The 25,069-nt window shown below is 57.0% G+C and overlaps 1 protein-coding gene across 1 annotated transcript in view, besides 10 other annotated features; it reads right to left on the reverse strand.

Moving 5' to 3' along the window:
• PIEZO1 (piezo type mechanosensitive ion channel component 1 (Er blood group)) overlaps positions 1–9,080 on the reverse strand; it is a 69,883-nt gene extending 60,803 nt beyond the window's left edge. The window contains exon 1 of the mRNA NM_001142864.4: positions 8,761–9,080. Coding sequence (NP_001136336.2) covers positions 8,761–8,824 — 64 coding nt within the window. The 5' untranslated portion in view covers positions 8,825–9,080. The remainder of the gene's footprint in view (positions 1–8,760) is intronic.
• Positions 44–794: an enhancer, noted in NCBI's record as "H3K4me1 hESC enhancer chr16:88842592-88843342 (GRCh37/hg19 assembly coordinates)". NCBI's record gives its function as "activates a minimal SCP1, AML or CMV promoter by ChIP-STARR-seq in primed H9 embryonic stem cells {active_cell/tissue: H9 hESC(primed)}" and the evidence as "EXISTENCE:reporter gene assay evidence [ECO:0000049][PMID:30033119]".
• Positions 5,039–5,168: an enhancer, noted in NCBI's record as "active region_11369". NCBI's record gives its function as "activates an Ori minimal core promoter by ATAC-STARR-seq in GM12878 lymphoblastoid cells {active_cell/tissue: GM12878}" and the evidence as "EXISTENCE:reporter gene assay evidence [ECO:0000049][PMID:35858748]".
• Positions 5,209–5,348: an enhancer, noted in NCBI's record as "active region_11370". NCBI's record gives its function as "activates an Ori minimal core promoter by ATAC-STARR-seq in GM12878 lymphoblastoid cells {active_cell/tissue: GM12878}" and the evidence as "EXISTENCE:reporter gene assay evidence [ECO:0000049][PMID:35858748]".
• Positions 5,369–5,738: an enhancer, noted in NCBI's record as "active region_11371". NCBI's record gives its function as "activates an Ori minimal core promoter by ATAC-STARR-seq in GM12878 lymphoblastoid cells {active_cell/tissue: GM12878}" and the evidence as "EXISTENCE:reporter gene assay evidence [ECO:0000049][PMID:35858748]".
• Positions 5,749–5,828: an enhancer, noted in NCBI's record as "active region_11372". NCBI's record gives its function as "activates an Ori minimal core promoter by ATAC-STARR-seq in GM12878 lymphoblastoid cells {active_cell/tissue: GM12878}" and the evidence as "EXISTENCE:reporter gene assay evidence [ECO:0000049][PMID:35858748]".
• Positions 7,909–8,228: a silencer, noted in NCBI's record as "silent region_7874". NCBI's record gives its function as "represses an Ori minimal core promoter by ATAC-STARR-seq in GM12878 lymphoblastoid cells {active_cell/tissue: GM12878}" and the evidence as "EXISTENCE:reporter gene assay evidence [ECO:0000049][PMID:35858748]".
• Positions 8,311–9,224: an enhancer, noted in NCBI's record as "H3K27ac-H3K4me1 hESC enhancer chr16:88850859-88851772 (GRCh37/hg19 assembly coordinates)". NCBI's record gives its function as "activates a minimal SCP1, AML or CMV promoter by ChIP-STARR-seq in naive H9 embryonic stem cells {active_cell/tissue: H9 hESC(naive)}" and the evidence as "EXISTENCE:reporter gene assay evidence [ECO:0000049][PMID:30033119]".
• Positions 8,729–9,208: a silencer, noted in NCBI's record as "silent region_7875". NCBI's record gives its function as "represses an Ori minimal core promoter by ATAC-STARR-seq in GM12878 lymphoblastoid cells {active_cell/tissue: GM12878}" and the evidence as "EXISTENCE:reporter gene assay evidence [ECO:0000049][PMID:35858748]".
• Positions 9,249–9,578: a silencer, noted in NCBI's record as "silent region_7876". NCBI's record gives its function as "represses an Ori minimal core promoter by ATAC-STARR-seq in GM12878 lymphoblastoid cells {active_cell/tissue: GM12878}" and the evidence as "EXISTENCE:reporter gene assay evidence [ECO:0000049][PMID:35858748]".
• Positions 14,194–14,724: an enhancer, noted in NCBI's record as "H3K4me1 hESC enhancer chr16:88856742-88857272 (GRCh37/hg19 assembly coordinates)". NCBI's record gives its function as "activates a minimal SCP1, AML or CMV promoter by ChIP-STARR-seq in naive H9 embryonic stem cells {active_cell/tissue: H9 hESC(naive)}" and the evidence as "EXISTENCE:reporter gene assay evidence [ECO:0000049][PMID:30033119]".

Consider the following 25,069-nt stretch of genomic DNA (forward strand, 5'->3'; position numbering starts at 1 on the left):
GGAACCAAATGAGGCCGGGCGCGGTGGCTCACGCCTGTCATCCCAGCATTCTGGGAGGCCGAGGCGGGTGGATCATGAGGTCAGGAGATTGAGACCATCCTGGTTAACACGGTGAAACCCCGTCTCTACTAAAAATACAAAAAATTAGCGGAGTGTGGTGGTGGGCGCCTGTAGTCCCAGCTACTCGGGAGGCTGAGGAAGGAGAATGGCGTGAACCTGGGAGGCAGAGCTTGCAGTGAGCCCAGACTGGGCCACTGCACTCCAGCCAGGGCGACAGAGCGAGACTCTGTCTCAAAAAAAAAAAAGAAGGGATGAGACGCAGGGCCAGGACCTGGTGGCTCAGGGCATTGCCCGGGGCCCAGCTTCCCTTGGAGGGGCCCCACTAGCTGCCCCAGCCTTTGGGCGGCTCCTATGTGCACATCTAGGAGGGGAGGAAGGGGAGAGGCTGTGTGCTCAGGGCATCTGGGGAGGCGAAGCCACGGGAGGTTAGCAGGGAATGAACACAGGAGGGAACTGGGGGGCCACACACCAGGGGCAGAGTAGGGGATTCAGCAGACGGGAGTGACCGCAGAAGGGCCAGGGCTTGGGGACAGGACTGTGGGGCTGGACCCTGGCTCGGGGCGGGCCAGTCCGGCGCTGATAGCCTCTCTGCCACCCACGGCCCCTGAGCCTGTACGTCCTCATGTGTGCAACAGGGCTGCTGCTGCTGTCTGTCCCAAGAGGGGAATGTGTGTGCTCATTCCCCGCCCGGCAGGAGATCTGGGCCCGGCTCACTTCTTGGCAGGGACTAGAAGGAGGGAAGGGCCTGCACCAGGCTGAAGTGTCAGGATTTTCTTCTTCTTCTTTTTTGAGATGGAGTTTCGCTCTTGTTGCCCAGGCTGGAGTGCAATGGTGTGATCTCGGCTCACTGCAAACTCCGTCTCCCGGATTCAAGTGATTCTCCTGCCTCAGCCTCCCGAGTAGCTAGGATTACAGATGCCTGTCACCATACCCAGCTAATTTTTGTATTTTCAGTAGGGACAGGGTTTTGCCATGTTGGCCAGGCTGGTCTTGAACTCCTGGCCTTGGGATCCACCCGTCTCGGCCTCCCAAAGTGCTGGGATTACCGGCGTGAGCCACCATGCCCGGAGGACCTGCTCTTTTAGGAAAAGCACAAGGGCGTGCACCCACCAAGGAGGGAGAAAGCGAAGGCAGCGGAGGCCAGGGCAGAGCCTTACAGGCCGCCCATTGCAGGGTCCTCATTGTCACTGGCCCGCAGACACATTGCAGGGTCCTCACTGTCACTGGCCCGCAGACACATTGCGGGGTCCTCACTGTCACTGGCCCGCAGACACATTGCGGGGTCCTCATTGTCACTGGCCCGCAGACACATTGCGGGGTCCTCATTGTCACTGGCCCGCAGACAGGAAAGGAAAAGTAAATCCCCGCTGAGGCAGGGGCAGTGGGATGGACGATGGCTTCCCTTTTCAAAACTCCCTTTCATGTTGCTTTAATGATGTGTCGTTTTAAACGGTACTTTAACCATAAACAGAAATCAAGTAAATGAGGGAGCGAGGGCCGCGTGGTGGCTGAGCTGCGTAAAGGCAGACAGTGGGGGTCCCAGGCGACAGATTGCAAACTGCAGGCCTTGGGGGGTCCAGGAGGTGAGTGAGACCAAGACCAGACCTGGGGTCCTTGAGGCCCCTCCAGGGCAGGCAGCCCCAAACCCACGCCTGTGCCTTCCTTCGAGGCTCCTCCCGGGCAGGTGGCCTCCCTAAACCCACATCTGTCCCCTCCTTTGACGCCCCTCCTGGGCAGGCGGCCTCCGCAAACCTGCGTCTGTCCCTCCCGCATGGCCCTCCAGGTCTCGCCACAGCCACAAGCCTCCGGGAGCTCCTGCGGGCCTGGGAATCTGTTTAAGTCACAGTTGAGTTTCATTGTTTTCCCCGAGGCTGGAGGCTTCTAGACACACGGGAGGGAGGGCGGACAAACACACCCCAGCACTGCGGGGGTCCAGGACTCCCCTGCCTGATGCCGCTCCCGGACCGGTGTAGCTCACAGATGGGCATGGCCCGAGCCCCCTTCCTGCTTTTGGGGGTAGAGCTGTGGCACCGAGAGCCGGCCTTGTTCTTGACTCTTCCTGGGCCCATTTTAGCCGCCCATCCACAGGCAAAGGAAACCACAGGGGGTGGCTGAGGCGGCTGCTGTCCCTCTTTAGCCTGAACCTGAGGAAGGAGAAGCAGCCCCAGCTATATATACCCACAGAAAAATAGTGTGCAGATTGGAGCCTGGTAAACAGCCGGCAGCCAAACCCTGCCGGCCCGTCAGAGGGAGCCTGAAATACTCCCTGTAATTATGCTATTAAAACACACCCGAAAAATTGATCCACCCCACTCGGCAAAGGTTCCTGAGACAACGGCGGGGAATCGGGTGGCCACGCACGTCGGCCTAAGGGGCCCTGGCAGCGCCCGGCAGGACAGCCGTCCACTGCACACCTCAGAGCCGGCACCCGGGACGGTCAGCGTCCCCATGGGCCCGGCACCAGCAGCTGCCCAGATCCTCACCCGCACACAGGAAGGGTCCCTGCAACCCAGCGTCCACCGTGGAGAAACATGAACGTGAGCAAAAATACGGCCTGCGGTGGGTGTGCGACCCCACACAGAAGGGCGAGAGGCTCGTGTGCCATCCCACACACTGGGAGCCACCCACACACCCAGGCATCCAGCAGCCGCCGAGGCACAAGGCTGTGGCCCAGGGAAGGCACCTGGGGAAGCGGCCGTTCCAGCTGGGAGAGAGACCCAGAGAGCGGGGGCAGGTGGGGTGCATGGCGCGTTCACCAGAGGCTTCCCGCTGGGAACAGGGGAGGACAGAGGTTCAAAGGGTTAAAAAGGGAATTTAATCTGATTTACGACTTCACTTTTTTTTTTTTTTTTTGAGAGGGAGTCTTGCTGTCCCCCAAGCCCCCAAGCTGGAGTGCAGTGGCACGACTGTGGCTCACTGCAACCTCTACCTCCTGGGTTCCGGCGATTCTCCTGTCTCAGCCTTCCCAGCTGGGAATACAGGTGCCCGCCACCATGCCCAGCTAATTTTTGTATTTTTAGCTGAGATGGAGTTTTGCCATGTTGGTCAGGCTGGTCTCGAACTCCTGACCTCAGGTGATCCACCTGCCTCGGCTTCCCAAAGTGCTGGGATTACAGGTGTGAGCCACCGCGCCCGGCAAGGGATCCCATTTTGGACGGCGTCGGGGGAGCCCCATTTTCCTGGCACTGATCGCACTTTTCTTTCCCCGCCTGTGCTCAGCATCGCGCTTTGTGAATAAACAGCAATGACCGTGCGGGGCCCCCAACCTCCTTTCCTGGCTAGCTTGGGAGGGAGAGCAGGGAGCTCCAGCCCCACCCCAACACCCACCTCCACTGGCCCTGAACCAGAACTTGGACTTCTGGCTGCTGCCCAGAGCTCTGTCCCACAGGACCGGCGTGAGAGGATGCATGAATGAATCTGAGTGGTCGGGAATCTGCAGTGGGATGGGCTGGGCTGCAGACACCCCTGGGGACGCGCTGTGTGTGCAGCATGAGGGAGGCCGACAGCCCCACAGGTCCCAAGGAGCCTCTGTGCTCCTGGGAGCTGCCCTGTGTGCTCCGGGACCAGGCGGTGAGTGGCCCCTTCCCCTCAGCTCCATGGAGGCCCGACGGACCCCCGGCCACCGCGGCACTCAGCGCAGCTGGGAAAGCCTGTGTTGCGGGTCTCCTGGCCCCACGATTGTGCGAGGAATTCTGAGCCTTCCGGGGGGGACGGCTGTCCCGCCCCTACCCCCACCCAGCCTGGGTGTGAGATCCAAAGCCCGAGAGACCTGAGACTTGGAAGCGGCTGTGAAGCTTTTACGGTGTCACTTACAGGGGAGGAAACCCAGACCCAGAGAAGGGGGTGAGGGCCCCACACGTTCAGAGCAAGATAGGGTCGGCTGCTGCCCACGAGCCGCCACCAGGTCGGCCACCCCTCTGCCTGCCCCCGTCCTCCCAGTGACCCTGGACCCCAAGTCCCCTTCAGGTGCCTCGGCCAGCAGGTGTGGGACTCAACCGCCAAGGAGAGGAGAAGCCTTCACCCCGGGCCTGTCCCTTCCCACCAGTGTGATCTTGGGTGTGTGAATTAACTTCCCTCACCCCAGAGTCCTAATCCAAAAAATAGGCTCAACAGCCGCACCCTGAAGCCAGCAGAGGAGCTCAAAGGTCAAGAGCAGGACAGAAGGCAGATACAGAGGATGTGGGTGGGGGTAGGGGAAGGGGGGGTCCCACCTCACAGTCACCCAGGAGACTCAGGCCTCCAGGCAGGCTAAGGCAGAGAGGGGCAGGGGTTGGCTGGGAACAGCTTGCCTTTCAGAAGAACACAGGACCCACACCCAGCAAGGAAGGGTCTGTCCATGCCAGATGTGTGTGTGGGATACTGTGCTGGCTTCTAAACTGCTCTGTGAGCTAGGATTCTCTACCACAAGGAAGGGCAAACTTGCTTTTGGAACCAGAAGAAAAAGCTTATATAAACAAAGAAGCAAAAGTCTAACTGTCAGCCGGGCGCGGTGGCTCATGCCTGTAACCCCAGCACTTTTGGAGGCTGAGGCGGGCAGATCGCTTAAGGTCAGGAGTTCAAGGCCAGCCTGGCCAAAGTGGTGAAACCCCGTCTCTACAAAAAATACAAAAATTAGGTATGGTGCTACACACCTGTAATCTCAGCTACTCAGGAGGCTGAGGCAGGAGGATGGCTTGAGCCCTGGAGGCTGAAGTTGTAGGGAGCCAAAATCACGCCGCTACACTCCAGCCTGGGCGACAGAGTGAGCCTCTGTCTTTAAGAAAAAAGAGAAAAAAGCCTAACTGTCTATTTCTAAAATAGCTAAACAGAAGACTAACATTTTGTTGAATTGAAAAGGGGATTTCTGAGGCCAGAGAGGCCAGGAATGGCTTCCTGCAAGATGCGGCTCTCACTGGACCCTGACGACTGCGGTGGTCCCATCTCAGGAGTGGGCTGCAGCGGGCAGATGAGGCCGTCAAGGCCCACGGTGGTTCCCCTTCATCTTTGAGCACCGAAAGCAAATGCACTGCCGAGTCAGCACAGGAGAGACACCGCCCAGGAAGCTGCCTTGGGGCCAGGATCAGAGACTGTGCGCCCCCACCCACCCCCAGAGGAAACTTCCTCTCTGTGGGACCCTGGCAGCTGGGGCTGGAGCTCCCTGTGTCCTGGGCACCAGTGACCCGCTGCGGGACGAGCACCCGCTGTGACCCATCCTCAGCTCCTGGGCAGTCCCTGGCCCCTTCCCCAAACACGCACACATGTGCACACTCACACCTGCAGCCCTTGGTGCTGTGAGGCAGGCCCCAGGCTCTCCTGCTGACTCATCCAGCCTCCAGGCCCAGCATGGGGACAGAGTGCGCCCCTCTGTCACACCAGGGAGCTGATGCTCAGAAGGGGCCCCCAAGCCACAGAGGAAAGCAGCTCCCACCCTACTCTGCCACGGCCATGCTCTTCCCAGCACCCTCGGATGGGACAGGCCAGGGTTCTGTGCAGGTCCTGAGACCCGGGCACAGGCCTCCGAAGGGTGACTCTGCCATGCTCAGCTCAGAGGGTCTGCACTGCTGAGCAACTGTGAGCCGAGTGCCTGCTGTTCCCCAGCTTCTCGGCCGCCTCCCAGGAGTGGTGAGACCCTGATGGTGACAATGTTCTGAAAAAGGAGGCAGCATCCCTCATGCTAAATGGTGACACTTCTCAGTGACAATCAGCCTGAAGGAGGTGACGCCCAGCTTGCCGGCCGTGGGTGTGCCCCTAGGCTGTGCCACGAGGCACCCTGAAAAGCAGAAGCCATATTGTCAGCCCACGTGGGTGTCCCACAGTCAGTGACACGGTGGCTCCTCTCGCACCAGCTGGCTTTCCGCAGCCCTGTCTAGATTTCCCACTGATAGAACTGGAGGTGCGGTCCCATATTATCAGAATCACAAATGTCCTGCCCTTTTTTTTCCTTTTTCTTTTTTGAGACAGGGTCTGTCACCCAGGCTGGAGTGCAGTCATACAATCATGGCTCACTGTAGCCTCCAACTCCTGGACTCAAACAATCATCCCACCTTGGCCTCCTGAGTAGCTGGGACTACAGGTGCACTACCACCATGCCCAGCTAATTTTTAAATATTTTTCATAGAGATGGGGATCTCTACGTTGCCCAGGCTGCTCTCGAATGGCTACGCTCAAGCAATCCTCCCACCTTGGCCTCCCGAAGCTCTGGGATTACAGGTGTGAGCCATCGCGCCCAGCCCTGCCCTGACATCTCTCTAGAAGAGATGGGCCCTGATCCCCCAAGGCTCCAGCAACATTAGGTGAGACTGCTGAAGGAGGCCCCTGCTCCCTGTGGGTGGGGCAGCTCCCTGCCAGATTTTTGGGTAATGATCCTGCACTGGAGAGGGAGGGCGTGGGGGCCAGGGGCACCCCAGGATGACTCAAACCCTCACCAGGCACTGTCTGAGCCAGCGCAGGCACACACTGACTAATGCCTTCTGAAGGCCTCATTCATTTCCAAAACACGGTAGAACTGCTTCCAGCCAAAGCTCGCCAGAGAGGGAGGGGGCACTCCAAAGACAGCAAAGCCAGTGTCCCACCTCCGGCCAGGCCAGCTGAACCTGCACATCGCGGGTCCATCTGGAGCTGCCCACACCCCAGGGCCAGAGAGCCTGACTCAGGAGTCCCGGCCAGCAGGCAGGCAGGCAGGGTTCTTGGCCGGCTCCACTTCCATCTCCCCCAGGTGACTGAGAGAAAACACTGAGTGAGGCCCAGGCCCCACGCCCCATCCCCAGACACAGAATCAGTGTGGGGTATGGCCCGGGCTTCAGCATCTTTCAAATTAAGAGACTTTATTTGGGACCAGTTTTAGGTTTAAGGAAAGTACCATACAGACAGACAGTCAGTCATCACTATTCTTTAAAAGTTTCATAGAAGACTGACACGGGGCCTGGGTGAGCACCCCTGGGCTACCTCCCCATCCTCCCCAAGGAGGCCAAAAGCAAGAAGAACAGTGATCCCTCCCCCAGATCCCCCACGCGGATAGCAATCGAGAAGGCAGAACCCAGGCCCCCTGACCAATGCCCAGGGGGCAGCAAACCACATGTGCCACAGAATCGGGCTCAACACCTGTTTAGGTACAGCCCATGAACTCAGGAGGGCTTTTACATTTAATGGCTGGAAAAATACCAGAAGAAGAAGATTTTGTGACATGAAAATATTTACCATCTGGTCATTTAAAGAAAAACATTGCCAACTCTGCCCAAGGAGCAGCTGCCATCTGAGAGGGGGGGCATTCCCTGCAGGGAGGACACCCGCTCCCACTCAGACACAAGAGGAAATGGAACGATCAGTGTGAACGGGACGTTTCAGAAGCTTTCCTGTTTCCCTCTCTAAGGCCTGTCAGCTCTAGACTCTGCCTCTGTGCCAGGCTGTCCTGCTTGTTTTCAAGGCACAGGAAGGAACACAGCCGGGCCCTGTTTACGGCCCATCTGACCCTGCACTGGGAGCAGGTCCCAGGCTGCCCAGTCCACACAGGGCTGACCGCACTGAAGAGAGTTGCTCAAAACCTCTCCTCTCCAGCCTCAATGGTTTTCATTGATTCCTGTCTAGAAAATCTTCCCCAAGTTTCACCACCTTTCTGTGCGACCGATCAAAACGCAGTCTGTCTGGGAGCCTCAGGCAGGCGGCTCTAGATCCCCAAAGCTAGCGCTGGGCGAGCTCCCACCTGGAGCGAGGCAAGGGCTCCGAAAGGGCTTTTACAATCAAAAGGCCCCACCTGCCGTGTCCATGGCGGACTCCCAATGCAAACCGTCCCACTTGTCCGTGGGTTAATTCCATCCGACTGCTTCCCAGATCAATCACACGTGGGGAGCCCCCGGGCGGAGGGCGCGGACCCTGGGTCCCGGCTAGGCCAGGGTCGGGGAAGGGTAGGGGTGCCAGGCCGTGCAGCACCAAGCCACCCGGGTGTGCTTCGCGAAAGGGGCACCACTGCCCGGCAAGCAGGGAACACAGATGCCAGGACTGGGGACCCCTGCCCCGCCCTGACACCAGGCCACAGCCTCCGGGGGTGTCCCCTCCCCCAGACCAGGGCAGAGGCCGGCCCCCGCCCCTGCGAAACTGAGCCCAGTAGGGCAAGGGAGGACCAGGGAGGAACCCACACTATTTTTTTCCAAAGTGTGGGACCGCCTCAGTCCGGCAGAGGGGGGTGCAGCGGTGAGCGGGGCTGGGCCCTGGGCACGGACGTTCGTTGGGCTCGGGAAGCTCCAAATTAAACAGCTCCAGGCAGGAAGCCCGCCTTCTCCCAGATTGTCAGGAAGTCCTGATGCAACTTTGCGCTTTTTTTTTTAAACCCGAAAGAGAAAAAGAGATTCGTGCTCCCCCCACCACCGCCGCGGCCCTTCCCACCGGGGCAAACACCGCCTCGCCCGGCGGCCTCCTCTCCGCAGCGCCCCGGCGGAGACGCCAGCCGCGCTATGCCCGGCGCTCGCTCGACCGCCCCCGTGGGCACGCGGTGCCGTCTCCCCCAGCCGCCGCCGCCCTTCCAGCCCGGCCCTGGGACAGGAGCCCCGCCGCCGCCTGGCGCGCTCATGCTTCAGGAATGCGGGCGCCCGGGTCGCGCGTCCCTGGGAATTTCCGCGCCCGCTCGCCCGCAGCCCTCGCCCCGGCCGGCGTCGTCCGGTGTCCAGGCCGTGGGGAGCCGAGACGCAGCCCCCTCCCGTCGCCCCCAGGCGCCCGCCCCCCACTCACCAGCCAGCAGCGCGCAGGGCAGCAGCAGCCAGTACAGGACCGCGCCGAGCACGTGCGGCTCCATGGCTGGAGGGCCCAGGGCCCGGCCCAGACCGAGCGGACGCCGCGGCGCTATGGGGCGGTGCGGGGGCCCCGGGGCCGGCGCGCCATGGCTGACCCGCGGGGACCCGCGCGCCGCCTTCTCCTCTTCCTCCTTCTCCTTCGGCCGCCCCGCCGGTGCCGACGTCCCGGGCCCGCGCTCGCTCAGGCGACCGCCCTGCCCCTCGGCGGAGCGCAGCGCTCGGCTCACTGGGGCCGAGCTGGGCCGGACGGCGGCTCCCGCCCTCCTCCGCCCGCGGGCCTTTATAAGCTCGGCCCCCTCCCGCCCTCCCCGGCGTGCCCGCCTCCGCGCTTCCCCGACGGCCCGGCGCGCCCAGGCACCCCCTCCGCTGTCCCGCGCGGCCCGTCCCGCCTCCGGCCCGCCCTGGTGCGTTGGGGCCTGGAGACCCCCGACTGGCGCTGGCCCGGAGCGGACCCCTCCCCTCCCGCAGTCTTGGCCCCGCGGCTCCGAGCGTGCGCGGCGGTGGGCAGGGGCGCTTCTCGCTGGGTGGGCTGCGGCTGGGGCCCGGGCGCTACATAAGGGGTCCCGGGGCCTCTGGCTCCCCCAGGCAGCGCCCCACGCGCAACTGCACCCCGCGTGCCCGAGCGACTTTCGCTTTGCTCCCCGAGGCGCGAGCACGCAGCGCCCCCTGGGGACCGTGGGGAGGCTCGGAGTTCCCGCGGCGGCCGGGCCTAGTGGTCCCGGAGGGAGCACGCGGGATGCTCGGGTCGCAGCAGTGCCGCGATCCGCGTTGGTCTGACGGGGGCTCGGGGGCTGCTCCCAGCCACGCCGGCCACCGCGCGCGGCTTTGCCCGGGTCGCTCTGGCGTGAGACGGTGAGAGTGAGAGCCACGGCCTGTGCACCTGCTGCCGCGGCGCCCTGCCACGGAGAGGTAGGGTCTGAGTCCAGGGTGTTCGGGACCCTCACCCAGGCCACGTCAGTTTGGCCTTCGTCTGCCCTTGAGATGGGCACAGAAAGAGGGCAAAGGGCTCTACACCGTTTAATTGGGCTCAGTTCATGGCTCTCAAACTCAGCTGCGTAAGGCAGGGAGTGGGGCTGGGGGGACTGTGGCCACTGAGCCTCAAGGCACTGGCAACTCATGAGAGCCCAGCACAAGCCCACACCCTCCAGCTCAAAAAAAAAAAAAAAAAAAAAAGATGGCGGGGCAGTGGCTCAGGCCTGTAATCCCAGCACTTTGCGGGGCTGAGGCAAGGGGGTAGGGGGTCGGGGGATCACTTGACGTCAGGAGTTCGAGACCAGCCTGGCCAACATGGTGAAACCCCGTCTCTACTAAAAATACAAAAATTAGGCCGGGCGCGGTGGCTCACGCCTGTAATCCCAGCACTTTGGGAGGCCGAGGCGGGTGGATCACCAGGTCAGGAGATCGAGACCATCCTGGCTAACACGGTGAAAACCCATCTCTACTAAAAACATAAAAAATTAGCCGGGCGTGGTGGCGGGCTCCTGTAGTCCCAACTACTCGGGAGGCTGAGGCAGGAGAATGGCATCAACCCAGGAGGCGGAGCTTGCAGTGAGCCGAGATAGCGCCACTGCACTCCAGCCTGGGCGACAGAGCCAGACTCCGTCTCAATAAATAAATAAATAAATAAATAAATAAATAAATAAATATACAAAAATTAGCCGGGCGTGATGGCAGGCGCCTGTATTCCCAACTACTCAGGAGGCCGAGGCAGGAAAATCGCTTGAACCTGGGAGGCAGAGGTTGCCGTGAGCCGAGATCATGCCATTGCACTCCAGCCTGAGTGACAAGAACGAAACTCCATTAAAAAAAAAAAAACCACCCAGAAATGGAGATTTTCATGGGAAGTCTAGTGTTTAAAGGCTGATATAGGCCGGGTGCGGTGGCTCACGCCTGTAATCCCAGCACTTTTGGAGGCCGAGGCGGGTGGATCACGAGGTCAGCAGATGGAGACCATCCTGGCTAACACGGTGAAACCCCATCTCTACTAAAAATACAAAAAATTAGCCGGGCGCGGTGGCGGGCGCCTGTAGTCCCAGCTACTCGGAAGGCTGAGGCAGGAGAATGGCGTGAACCCGGGAGGCGGAGCTTGCAGTGAGCCGAGATCACCCCACTGCACTCCAGCCTGGGCAACAGAATGAGACTCCATCTCAAAGAAGAAAAAAAAAAAAGGCTGATTTACTTTCTCTGCAAGTCTCACCCTCTGGTCAGGCTTTGAAAAGTTGCTGCAGAGGTGGGGAAGTCTGGGAGCTTGCCCTGCAGATGGACTTGCAAAGGTAGAGGATGTATGTGTCCTAGAATTGTTCAAGCAGCAAAAAGCAGAAAAACTCTGCCCACAGAAGCTTGTCAAATAAATGATAGCGTGTCTCACAGTGGAGTGCTACACAGCAGGTAAAAAACAGAATCCGGCTAGGTGTTTTGTATCAACATGAAGCTAAGATACAATGGCACTCTGTAGCAGCGGTTAGAGAGAATCCCGCAATTGCTCTGTTATCAAGGAGGAACAATTGCTAAGTTACAGTGCTAACAATTGGGAAAAGCAAGCAGCTACACTCAGGGCCACGCTCACCCACTTGGGGTGGGAGGGAGACCTGGTCTTCACCTATACCCTTTGGTGCTGTTTTAATATTTTGCTTCATACATAATTCACTTATTCACAAAATAAAATTAGCAAAATGGAGACAAATACTCTGAAAAAGATCTCTGCTTGCCAGCCAGGGAGAGGTGGGGCGGGCAAGGGCAGGGGAGCCCACCTGTGCCCAGTTCACTGCCCGTTCAGGAATTTGGACCGTGTTCTAACTCAACCCCTGTTGCAGAAGAGGACGCTAAGGGCCAGAGCGGGATAACCATTTGCCAAAGGAATAGACCGGCCTTTGCACCCAGCTTTCCAGATTCCAAGTCCAAAGTCACTCCTGTCCCACTGACCCACAGCTGGGAGCCCTTTCTCAACTTGCTGTTGCTTTTTATTTTTGTCACTGTTTAAAACAGTGATTTATTTTTTATTTTATTGTATTTTCTTGAGACAAAGTCTGCCACTGTTGTCCAGGCTGGAGTGCAGTGGAGCAATCTCGGCTCACTGCACCCTCCGCCTCCTGAGTTCTAGTGATTCTCCTGCCTCAACCTCCCAAGTAGCTGGGATCACAGGCGTGTGCCACCACACCTGGCCAACTTTTGTATTTTTAGTAGAGATGGGATTTCAAAATGTTGGCCAGGTCTTGAACTCCTGACCTCAAATGATCCGCCTGCCTTGACCTCCCAAACTGCTGGGATTACAGGTGTGAGCCACCATGCCCGGCCAGTGACTTAGTCTTGGGAGAGCAACAATGGTCAGGTCCCCTTGGGAGAGAGGAAAAGCCAGGGCAAGAGGGGTCACAGGGACTTTAAGCTTTATCATGCAGGTTGTAACTTTTTCCCCAATGATAACATAGTCACCATTACTTGTCTATACTTAAAAATTAATTTCAGGCTGGGTGTGGTGGCTCACGTCTGTAATCCCAACACTTTGGGGGCCTAAGGCAGGAGAATGGCTTGTGGCCAGGAGTTGGAGACCAGCCTGGACAACACAGCAAGACCCCATCTATACAAAAAATAAAAATTAGCCAGGCATGCCAGGCAGGCATGGTGCCTCATGCCTGTAATCCCAGCACTTTGGGAGGCTGAGGCGGGTGGATCACAGGGTCAGGAGTTCGAGACCAGCCTGGCCAACATGGTGAAACCCTGTCTCTACTAAAATACAAAAATTAGCCAGGCGTGGCAGCAGGCACCTGTAATCCCAGCTACTCGGGAAGCTGAGGCAGAATCGCTTGAACCCGGGAGGCAGAGGTTGCAGTGAGCCAAGACCATGCCATTACACTCCAGCCTGGGTGACAGAGCGAGACTCCGCCTCAAAAAAAAAAAAAATTAGCCAGATGTGGTGGTGCCTGCCTGTGGTCCCGGCTACTTAGGAGGCTGAGGTGGGAGGATCTCTAGAGCCCAGGAGGTGGAGGCTGCAGTGAGTAGTGATGGCGCCACTGCACTCCGGCCTGGACAACAGGCCAAGACCCTGTCTCAAAAATAATAATAATTTTGGCCGGGCACTGTGGCTCACACCTGCAACACCAGCACTTTGGGAGGCTGAGGTGGGTGGATCACTTGAGGTCAGGGGTTCAAGACCAGCCTGGCCAACATGGTGAAACCCTGTCTCTACTAAAAATACAAAAATTAGCCGGGCATGGTAGCGCATGCCTGTGGTTCCAGCTACTCGGGAGGCTGAGGCGGGAGAATCGCTTGATCCCAGGAGGTGGAGATTGCAGTGAGCTGAGATCATGCCACTGCACTCCTGCCTGGGTGAAAGAGCAAGACCCTGTCTCAAAAAAAGTAATAAAATAAATAATAATTTCAAGAGGCAGCAACCCCAGAGTCTGTTAATGGAGTGTAGAAACAAAATGTGGTCTGTTCATACAATCTGATATTATTTGTCCATAAAAAGAAATGAAACTCTGATGTACGCTACAACAGGGATGAACTTGTGTGTGTGTGTGTGAGACAGGGTCCCGCTCTGTCACCCAGGCTACCAGGCTAGATTGCAGTGGTGCAATCATGGCTCCCTGTAACCTGGACCTCAGGCTCAAGGAAGCCTCCCACCTCAGCCTCCCAAGTAACTGGAACTACAGGCATGCACTGCCACACCCAGCCAATTTTTTTTCCCATAGAGATGGGGTCTTGCTATATTGCCCACGCTGGTCTCAAACTCCCAGGCTCAAGCGATCCTCCTGCCTTGGCCTCCCAAGGTGCTGGGATCACAGGTGTGAGCCACCGCGCCAGCACGGGGCTGGGGGACGTGGAGGGAAGGGAGCCAGGCACAGAAGGAAGACACCATGTGGCTCTGTGTACGTGAAATGTCTATGGAGACAGACAGCAGAGGGTGGTTACCAGGCCAGAGGGGGAAGTGGGCAGCTGTTGTTTAACAGTGGCAGAGTTTCTCTTTGGGGTGATAAAAAGGTTCTGGAAATAGTAGTGTTGACACAACATTGTAAATGTGCTTAATGCCTCCAAATTGGACACTTAAAAATGATTTAAAAGGTACATTTATATTATGTACTTTGACCATGATAGACAATTTTAAGAAATATGTACGTGGTTAAAACAATTTTCAGGCTGGGTGCAGTGGCTCGTGCCTGTAATCCCAGCACTTTGGGAGGCCGAGGTGGGAGGATCACCTGAGGTGGCGAGTTCGAGACCAGCCTGGCCAACATGGCAAAACCTCATCTCAAATAAAACTACAAAATTAGCTGGGCGTAGTGGCGCATGCCTGTAATCCCAGCTACTCGGGAGGCTGAGGCAGGAGAATTGCTTGAACCCAGGAGGCGGAGGTTGCAGTGAGTCGAGATCGTGCCATTGCACTCCAGCCTGGGTAACAAGAGTGAAACTCCATCTCAAAAACAAAAACAAACAAGAAACGATTTTCAAGCAGTGGACTCTATGCCTCCCTCGCAGCCAGGATCCCTCCCCAGAGGCAACCACAGTCTCTGTGTCTTCCACATACTGCTTTCCTGACTCCTTGTCAGGGACTGTGAGATTCGGGAACTTCTTGTTTTATTTCCCTGAGTGAATTCCCATTGGGTTCCCCAGCCTCCCTTTCCTGGAAACCAAGAACAGGAACTGATCAGCAGGGCACAAACTCCCACCTGTTCCTGCCGAGGGTCCTGGGTTCTTCTAAGGGGTGATCCCAGCCGGGGCACCGAGCTGGGGGCTCTGCAGACCAAACAGGCAAAAGGCCGTTTCTTCACAGGCAGCAGACAAGTTCCCACTGCCCGTGCATCTGATTCCCCGCCCCCGCCCCCGCTCTTTCGCAGCCCCAGCCGAGGGAGGAAGCCTGCGGTCACTGCCATCACTGCCTGCCTCTGTGGCAGCCAGGCCTGGTCCTCAGGGAAGCTCTGAAGCTGGGCAGCGTGTGCCCAAGCCATGCCTCTCACTGCCTTGAGGTCTTGGATAAGCTACAGAGCCCCAGGAGCCTCAACCCCCTCCTCGCCTGTAAAGCAAGGGTCCTGCCTGCTGCTGCTCAGAGGAGGGTTGAGTGAGACACCCGCGTGGAACACACCTGGGAAACAGCATGTGCTCTCCTGCCTTTTGGGAGGACACAAACTTCAGGTACTTCGCAGACAACTAACGTACCAGCCGTGATATGCCATGATATCCCACGGGGAGGGGAGAAGAGGGGAGGGGAGGGGAGAGGAGGAGAATGGAGGGGAAGAGAGGGGAGGGGAGGGGAAGAGAGGGGAGGAGAGGGGAGGGGAAGAGAGGGGAGGGGAGGAGAGGGGAGGGGAGGAGAGGGGAGGGGAGGGGAGGGGAGGGGAGGGGAAGGAAGGAGAGGGGAAGGGAGGGGAGGGAGGGGAGGGGAGGGGAGGGAGGGGAGGGGAGGGGAGGGGAAGCCTCACTCTCATCCCCCATGGCTGGCCTCAGTAAACATCCTCCTCTCCCACCCACCTGCTCTCCGGGAGCCGACCTGCGGGCCCCTGCCACCTGCCTGCCTGAAGCTGGCATTCGGCTCCATCCATGCTCAGGGTGCTACCTTGCCGACGTCAGCAATGGACCTGCCTGGGCACCTGTGGCTTGAAGTCTGGCCTGGAACCTGCCTGCTTGCCTCGGCGGCCAGCTGAGAGTTAGAAGGTTGGCATTAGGACCCCGCAATGTGGCCAGGAACCCTGTGACAAACCCCTACCAGCAGCAAAGGGGGCACTGAGGCCCCTAAGCTGTGGCGAGGAAGCTGGGATGAAGACGCCGATCCGTCCCTGGCTCTCACCATCCCCACCTCGCCAGTAAAACCAGAGCCCAACTGGATGCGCTGATGGGAAGGACGCGGCCAACACTAACCTGGAGACCAAGGGCCCAGGCTGGAGCGCAGATGCTGCCCCGAGTGAAGATGAACCACGTGCTCTCCTGCAGCCACCCATGTGGTCTTGTGGCCCCGCGTGGTCTCGTGGAGTAAATGCAGTGCTCGGGGCTTCAGAGACAGGCACAGTGGGCTGGAACCGGGATCCGCCCCGCCCTCCAAGCTCGGCCCCCAGTAGGGTCTCTGAGGAGCAGCGGTGGCTGCTCGGGCCCTGCTTGGGAGGGTACAGAATTGCTGACTGCTCCGGGCAGCAGTGGGGATGAGCTGAGCATCACCCGGGTGAAGAGCTGGAAGTCCTGGAACCAGCCTGGCCCCCAGCTCAGTACCCGCAGGCGCCTCTGCCCTGCTGACTCACCCACCCCCACTTCTGGCCCACCCAGTGGCTGGCTTTCCTGGGGGCCTGGTCATAGCTGAAAGGGGAGCGACCGGCCCCCTGCCGCCTGCCATGTCCTGCCCACACTTCTGGGTCCAGACCCTCCGGGCTGCTTGAGGGTGGAGCAGGTCATGTGTGGCCCTCGGAGTCCAGGCTTTCAGGCAGTACCCAGGACAGAGGAGGTTTTCACAGACAGTCCTTTCCTCACTCTGAGGCTCCCACGTGCATTTGGAGCATTTGGTGCATTTGGTGACTCTGGCCCCGTGCTGATCCCACAGATGGAGGTCACAGTGAGGCGCAGAGCCCTGCGTGGGTGGCTGGGTGGCGTCCTCTCATGCCCTGGGGCTCTGGTTGGGAGCAACAAAGGGAGAAAGGAGGTCTGGGGGCATTCAGGCCCAAGGGAGCAGGACAGGGACCTTCTGTCTTCAGTCCCCTCCTCTCGGCTCAACACAGCAGCCATACCCCCTCCTCACTGCTCAGTCCCCCCACTGCACCAACCACACAGGGCCATGGAATCCCCCAGGGCCATTGTCCTCAGTCCCGACTCCCCTTGGAATGCTGTCCCCCACCTGCCAAATCCCTCCTCCACCTTCCAGCAGTCCCTGCCTCTGAGCCCTTCCTGACTGCCCAGAGCTCACCTCACTCTGCTTCGACCCCTTGAGGCTCCCCTAGCATGTCCTCGGGATGTAACCATCTGTGGCCCTGGGGCTCCCTGGAGCTATGTCTCAGGTGACTGTATCCCCAGGGCCATGAGGAGGTTCACTCCATGCCTGACGAGTGACCATGAGGTCAGTGGCCACTGCAGATGACTGACCACTCACCACAGCCACCGGGCCACAGCTCAGCGTGTCCACAGGCAGTGACGTCACATGGGCCCTGGCCGAGCCCTTCCCCTGCCCACTCCTGCCCCTGCCTTTTGCTCAGAGCTTCTTTGTTGCCAGGGAGGCCGAGATGCCCAGGACCCACCCACGCCCATGGGCGCCATCCAGAGGGGAGCACAGCTGACCCTCCGTCAATGAGAGCTGGTGCAGAAACTCTTCTCCCCCTCCCCTGCACAGCATGAGGTGTGTTCCACCCGCTGCCTGGAGGACCCTCGTGTGTGACTGTGTGGTCGGCTGCACGTTGACATGGCCAGCTCCAGGACGCGCCGTCCATGGGCTCCTGTCCGTCCTGCCTCACTCTCCCCGCCGCTCACGCCTCTCTGGGGTTGCCCACCCCAGCAGGAAGGCTCTGCCTCGGGCTCTGCCTTCCGGGCATTCGGGGTTGAGAGAGCCCCCATCAAGAAAGCGTGTGTTTCCGGGGCACTCCCAACAGCAGCTGGTCTGAGGACAGCGCAGACCCCACAGCGGGGGCCCCTGGACAGAGATAAGGCCCCCCACACCCCCAGAGGGCAGCTCTCCCCATAGACATGTTCGCCGCATGGGCCAACCACCCTCATGTCCACTGGGAACCTCCCTCTCAGGTTCCTTTGAGCTTCCCGGCCTGACCTGCAGACCTCGGCCCCAAGCTGGCAGTTACTGGGGCGGAGCTCAGCCCGGGGGCCCCAAGCTGGCAGTTACTGGGGCGGAGCTCAGCCCGGGGGCCCCAAGCTGGCAGTTACTGGGGCGGAGCTCAGCCCGGGGAACACTCCACCCCTGCAGCAGGGCTACACCGTCGCCAGGCAGAACGTCTCCCACCGGCAAGCCTCGAACCCGGGGTGTAAAGCCGTGACAGTCCATAGGGGGTTTTACCTGGGAAGTCTCCTGGTCCCATTAAAGAAAGCAAGCAAGCAGCCCAGGCCTCCTTATATTCCCACCGATTCCCTCCGCCCTCTATATTCCCATCCATTGCTACTTGAATTGACCTTTACAAGGAGTCATTGCCCCAGGGCGTGAGTTCTATCACCTGGGGCTAGGATTGTATCACCTGGAGCTTCCGTTGTATTATCTGGAGGTAAGGTTATATTTTATTTTATTTTATTGTTTTTTGAGATGGAGTCTCACTCCATTGCCCAAGCTGGAGTGCAGTGGTGCTATCTTGGCTCACTGCAACCTCCACCTCCCAGGTTCAAGCAATTCTCCTGCCTCAGCCTCCTGAGTAGCTGGGAGGCACCTGCCCCCACACCCGGCTAATTTTTGTATTTTTAGTAGAGACAGGGTTTCGCTGTGTTGGCCAGGCTGGTCTTGAACTCCTGGCCTCAAGCAATCTACCTGCCTCGGCCTCCCAAAGTGCTGGGATTATAGGCAGGAGCCGCTGTGCCCAGCCCAACCCCGCGAGCTTTTTTTTTTTTTTTTTTTTTTTTTAATAGGCAGGGTCTTGCTTTGTTGCCCAGGCTGGAGTGCAGTGGCACAATCACCATTCACTGCAGCCTCAGCCTCCTGTGCTCAAGCAGTCCTCCCACCTCAGCCTCCCAAGTAGCTGGGACTATAGGTGCATGCCGCCTTTCCTGGCTAATTCTTTTTTTTTTTTTTTTGAGACACAGTTTTACTCTGGAACACAGTAGCATAATCTCAGTTCAGTACAGCCTCCACCTCCCAGGTTCAAGCCATCCTCCCCCTTCAGCCTCCTGAGTAGCTGGGATTACAGGTGTGCACCACCATGCCCAGCTATTTTTTGTATTTTTAGTAGAGACATGTTTTTGCCATGTTGGCCAGGCTGGTCTCGAACTCCTAGCCTCAAGCAATCCACCTGCCTCAGCCTCCCAAACTGCTGGGATTACAGGCGTGAGCCACCATGCCTGGCCTTCTTGTTGGGATTACAGGGGTGGGCCACCGTACCTGGCCCTCTGCCACCATTGCTAACCATCAGTGGCTTCCTGTTTCTTTTTTTTTTTAAGAGGAAGTCTTGCTCTGTCACCCAGGCTGGAGTGCAGTGGCATGATCTTGGCTCACTGCAACCTCCACCTCCCAGGTTCAAGCGATTCTCATGCCTCAGCCTCCTGAGTAGCTGGAATTACAGGCATGTGCCACTATACCCGGCTAATTTTTTTGTATTTTTAGTAAAGATGGGGTTTCATCATGTTGGCTAGATTGGTCTCGGACTCCTGACCTCAGGGATCTGCCTGCTTTGGCCTCCCAAAGTGTTGGGATTACAGGTGTGAGCCACTGCGCCTGGCCTGGCTTCCTGTATCTTGAGGGCTGCCTATGAGGCAGGCGCGCTGCAGGCATGCTCCATGAACCCTTATGACAGCTTCCTGGGCAGACACTATGGTCTCCTAAGTGGGACCAGGTCATGGGCCCACACCACATGTGAAGGTCCCTAGAGAAGCCGGCATGTGCCCTCATCTGGAGTCCATTTACTCCCTCATCTGAACACCATGGGCCTTTGCCCAGGTTGCCCAGCTCATTCAGGCTCCTCCTCAGACACAGAAATGTTAAAACAAGAAACCTAGTCTTGCAGGGTGCAGACTATGGGCTCATGCCCATAATCCCAGCACCTTGGGAGGCTGAGGCAGGAGGATCACTTGAGGCCAGGCATTTGAGACCAGCCTGGGAAACATAGGGAGACCATGTCTCTACAAAAAAATGTTTTAAAAGTCCAGGCATGGTGGCTCATGCCGATAGTCCCAGCATTTTGGGAGGCCAAGGTGGGAGGATCTCTTGAGCCCAAGAGTTCAAGACCAACATGGGCAACATAGTGAGACCCTATCTCTACAAAAAATTATAAAAATTTGGCCACGTGTGGTGGCTCACACCTGTAATCCCAGCACTTTAGGAAGCCAAGGTGGGAGGATCATCTGAAGTCAGGAGTTCCAGACCAGCCTGGCCAACATGACGAAACCCCGTCTCAACTAGTAGAACGTGGTGGCGCACGCCTGTAATCCCAGCTTCTTTGGAGGCTGAGTTATGAGAATTGCTTGATCCTAGGAGGTGTAAGTTTCAGTGAACCTAGATTGTGTCACTGCGCTCCAGCCTGGGAGACAGAGAGATCCATCTCAAAATAAATAAAATAAAATAAAATAAAATTAGCTGGGCATGGTGGCCCTTGCATGTAGTCCCAGCTACTTGGGAGGCTGAGGCAGGAGGATCACTTAAGCCCAGCACTACGAGGGTGAACTATGATTGCACTCCAGCCTGGGTGACAAACAGAGTGAGACCTTCCTGGGTAAAAAATAATAATAATAAATAGACCTGGTCTTGCCTGTCCTGAGTGTAAGACTCCATTTCCCTCAGGGGAAGACCAAATGTTCCCTGAGGCTGAAACCCCTGAAACAGCCTTTCCTATCTGCACCTCCTCCTCACTGCCCAAACCCGGGAACCAGCCTAGCCCAGCTCCTGCCAGGAACAGCCTCTCTCCCAGGCTCTGACAGCTGCCTCCCTGCAGCTTCAGTCCCCGGGGAAGCTGAGTTCACAGTTCTCTGGAGAGGCGTAAACCAGCCTGTTTAAGGTGTGCTGCCCCGCTGGAAGCTCACCATGACTCCCCAGGCTCCCAGCACAGTGCCTGGAGCATAGTAGGTGCTCAATTAATGTTCTTGAATGAATGATCATCTTCCTCCAGCCTGAGTCCTTGAGCACTAAGCTAACCTCCATGTCTGCCAGGCGAGGAGCCCTCAGTGCAGGGCCACATCTTATTCACCCTGGACTTTTGGGGGCATCGGCTCCCCCTGGTTTGTAGTAGGGCCTTCAAAGTTGTGAAATCAAGGAACATCTATGAAGCCCCTCAAAGGTAGACCACCTAGGGGTGCCTGTTGGAGGCAGGGCAGATGCCCACCCTCACCTGTGGGTGGAGAAGAAGGAACCCCTGGGTGCGTGTTTGCTTTGCACATGCTGGGAAGCAGCTGGGCCTTCCTCCTGGGGTAAGCACTGCAGCTCTAGAGGGTAAGCTGAGGGCACCACCCACGCGTTATTTTTTGTTATTTGTACAGTTCCAGCATTCTCCCTAAAGTGCCTTTTTTTCTTTTGAGACAGGGTCTCGCTGTGTCTCTGTCCTAGGCTGGAGCACAGTGGCACCATCATAGCTCACTGCAGTTTTTACACCTGGACTCAAGTGATCCTCCCACCTTGACCTCCCAAAGTGCTGGGATTACAGGCATGAGCCACCATACCCAGCCGTTAATAACTTTTTTTTTTTTTTTTTTTGAGACGGAGGCTTGCTCTGTCGCCCAGGCTGGAGTGCAATGGCGTGATCTCGGCTTACTGCAAGCTCCGCCTCCGGGGTTCAAGTGATTCTACTACTTCAGCCTCCCGAGTAGCTGGGATTACAGGCACGCGCCACCAGGCCCGGGTAATTTTTGTATTTTTAGTAGAGACGGGGTTTTACCATGTTGGCCAGGATGGTCTTGAACTCCTGACCTCAGGTGATCCGCCCATCTTGGCCTCCCAAAGTGCTGGAATTACAGGCATGAGCCACTGTACCCGGCCTAATTCTACTTTAATTACTTTTAAACACTATTTGATTATTGAAAAACTTTTTAGCATACTTGGAACAAGTTGGGAGTGTGAATCCACTTTTCAAGATGTGAATTTTACAAAATCTACATCAAAGATCAAATAGGCCAGGCACGGTGGCTCATGCCTGTAATCCCAGCACTTTGGGAAGCGGAAGTGGGCAGATCACCTGAGGTCAAGAGTTCATGACCAGCCTGGCCAACATGGTGAAAACCTGTCTCTACTAAAAATACAAAAATTAGCCGGGCGTGAGGGTGGGCGCTGTAATCCCAGCTACTCGGGAGGCTGAGGCAGGAGAATCACTTGAACCCAGGAGGCAGAGGTTGCAGCAAGCCGAGACCGCGCCATTGCACTCCAGCCTGGGCGACAAGAGCAAAACTCTGTCTAAAAAAAAAAAAAAGGATCATATAATTCCATGAAAATGGAGCTTCCTTGAAACTGAGATGTGCTGTAAGTGTAAAATATACACTAGATTTCAAAGACCGGTGTTTAGAATTGGTGATTATACTTAGAGATTATGTCACTGATGATGGTGCTGATGGTGATGGTGGTGATAATGGTGGTCACGGTGATGATAATGAAGGTGGTCATGATGGTGATGGTTGTGAGAATGGTGAGATGGCACAATTGTGATGATGGTGATGGTGATGGTGAGGATGGTGATGATGATGATGGTGGTGATGGTGAGGATGGTGGTGATGATGGTGAAGGTGGTGGTGATGATAATGGTGATGGTAATGATGGTGGTGATGGTGATGATGGTGGTGATGACGGTGATGATGGTGATGGTGAGGGTGGTAATGGTGGTCCTGGTGATGATGATGTTGAAGGTGGTGATGGTGATACGGGTGATCATGAGGAAGATGGCAGTGATAATTACGATGGTGATGAGAAAAATAGTGTGAAATATCTCATTAATGAATTTTGGCTGGGCATGGTGACTCACACCTGTAATCCCAGCACTTTGGGAGGCCGCGGCGGGTGGATCACCTGAGGTCAGGAGTTTGAGACGAGGCTGGCCAACATGGCAAAACCCTGTCTCTACTAAAAATACAAAAATTAGCCGGGCGTGGTGGCAGGTGCCTATAATCCCAGCTACTCGGGAGGCTGAGGCGGGAGAATCGCTTGAACCCCGCAGAGGCCAGGCTCTTGGCAGGCACTCATGAATACCAGCTGATCAAATGGATGGAGGCACAGACCCTGGTCTCCAGGTTTCTCCAGGGTAAATATCCACAGACAGGGGTTCTGGCACCTTGGCCATGATGGCTCTCTCTCCTGAAGGCACTTGAGCAGGCTAAGTCCTCTTAGCACCCCATACCCATAAGCCAACATGGCCTGTCTGGGGGAGCCTGGATGGAACAGAGCAGAAAAGGGCCTTCACCTCCCTTACACTAGACTCTATATTTCTACTAATGCAGCCTCATATAGATCAACCCTTGTGACCATGCTTTAATTACAGCATCTTGGGTTAGAAGAGCTAGAAACCCACTCAGAGGCACTTCAGGCAAAAGAGGCAAATATATGGGCAGGAATAGGCTACTTCATTAAAATCTAGGGCAGCCTGGAGGGCTGGCAGGCCTCTCAAGAGACCACACTGGAAACTCTTCAAAGCCATCTGGGCTAGCAGCTGTGTCTGGCTGCCTCTGTCTTCACACCACAATGAAAGGCAGCCAATAGCTTACTCCTACTGGAGGCTCCAGTCCCAGGACAGGATCTGATTGGCTCAGCTGTGCACCTCTAGCCCAATCAGTTGTGACTGGGAGGCAGGGCTATACAGCACAAATGTGCAGCTGAATGAACTCCATCACTGCAGGTGAACAAGGCAATTTTCCAAGGACCCCTCCAAGGCAGAAGTCATCCTGAATGGCCTACTCTCCAGGGGTGACATTGAAAATACTGAGCAGTTGCCATGGCTGGATCCTGAGCCACCATAATTGACATGGGCCATTGCACTCAGGCCGGGCATGGCCCCCAAGGCACTGGGTGCCCCCTTCCAACCTGTTGGTTGTGAGTTGTGAACACCGGCCCCACCCTCAGCCTCCCAGCTCCCAACACTTCTGAAGCCTGGCCCCTTGCCCCACACAGAGCCAGACCCAAGCTACATTCATGCCTGCACTCTTACCAGCCCCTGTGCACTGTACTTCTGGGTCCAAGCTCATTCCAGAGCCTGCTTCTGCCCCCGGCTGGAGCCCCAGGGCTGGCCACGATGACAGCAACTGCCATGGCCCCTTCCCTCCCAGGAGGCTCGGGAGCCACCTCTTGAGGTGAGTGGTGACAGGTGCTGCTGTGCTGAAGTCAGGAAGGAAGCCCCCATCCTGAGGTGGTCTCTGGGAGCATCTCATGACCATGGGCCTAACCTTGGCCCCTGGCATGGCTCCAGGAGTCCAGCGCAGTACCCTGTGGTTCCGGCTGGTGCGTGGGCAGGTGGCAGGAGAGAAGAAATGCTGGAGTCGCCTTGGCATTTTGAAGGCCTTGGAGACGCTTCTGGCAGCATCCTGTCCATCAGCTTATCTATGGAAGGCAGGGACCGGGCCAAACGGTTGCACCAGCAGCCAGATGTGGAGCAGTTGCTTGTGGTTAAGTGCCGCTAACGCTGCCTCTCTGAGACCAGCTGTTTCCTTATTCTCAATGGGAGACAGAGTGGGGAGCCGCCACGTCACCAGGGGAGGTGACAGCTCCCTCCTACCTGACAAACGGTTACGATGTCAAGGATTTGCAAGGTCCCCTTACTGCAGATGGTCCTAAGGAGAGGATGCGTCTGTAATTCATGCTCCCATTACAGCTCTAACATTTTACATTTTCCCTCTTTCATACGTAGCCGACTTCTATTTGGTTTGTGTTCCACTATGACTCCCAGATCACTTTCTGCCCCCTTTGAGAAAAGCCAGGATCCCCATCTTGATTAGAACAGAATGGAATATTACAGCTGAAGAGACTCCCAAGCAAGGGTCGCCACGCAGAGCTGTGCCAGCTAAGGCCTGCACAAGGGTTCCTGGCCAAGGGAGCAGCGGGGGCTGAGATCCCCGTGGCTCCACTTGTCAAGCCGTTTTTCACAAAGGTGCCTTATGAGCTAACTGCCCTGCTGGAGGTTGTCTGGTCCCAGGGGCCTTCAAACTCTTTTGTCCAAAACCCACAGTGCGAAATACGCCTTTTCAAGACGTTCTATTTTCAAAAAATTCAAACATCCAGAGAAGTTGAATCTCATTTACCCCTCAGACTCTATCTTAATGTTCTACACTGTTCTTTTTGTTGTTGTTGTTGAGATGGAGTCTCGCTGTCACCAGGCTGCAGTGCAGTGGCAGGATCTCAGTTCATTACAACCTCCACCTCCCGGGTTCAAGCGATTCTCCTGCCTCAGCCTCCCGACTAGCTGGGATTACAGATGCCCGCCACCACACCCAGCTAATTTTTGTATTTTTGGTAGAGATGGGGTTTTACCATGTTGGCCAGGCTGGTCTCGAACTCCTGACCTCAGATGATCCACCCGCCTCGGCCTCGCAAAGTGCTGGGATTACAGGTGTGAGTCACTGCGCCCAGCCTGTCCATCTTATTTGATGCATTTTAAAGTGTCAGACATCTGTTATTCCTAAACACTTCTGCATGCATGTCATTGACTAGAGTTCGATATTTGCTGATAATT

The sequence above is a fragment of the Homo sapiens genome, chromosome 16, assembly GCF_000001405.40.
Source record: "Homo sapiens chromosome 16, GRCh38.p14 Primary Assembly".
NCBI classification, from domain to species: Eukaryota; Metazoa; Chordata; class Mammalia; order Primates; family Hominidae; genus Homo; species Homo sapiens.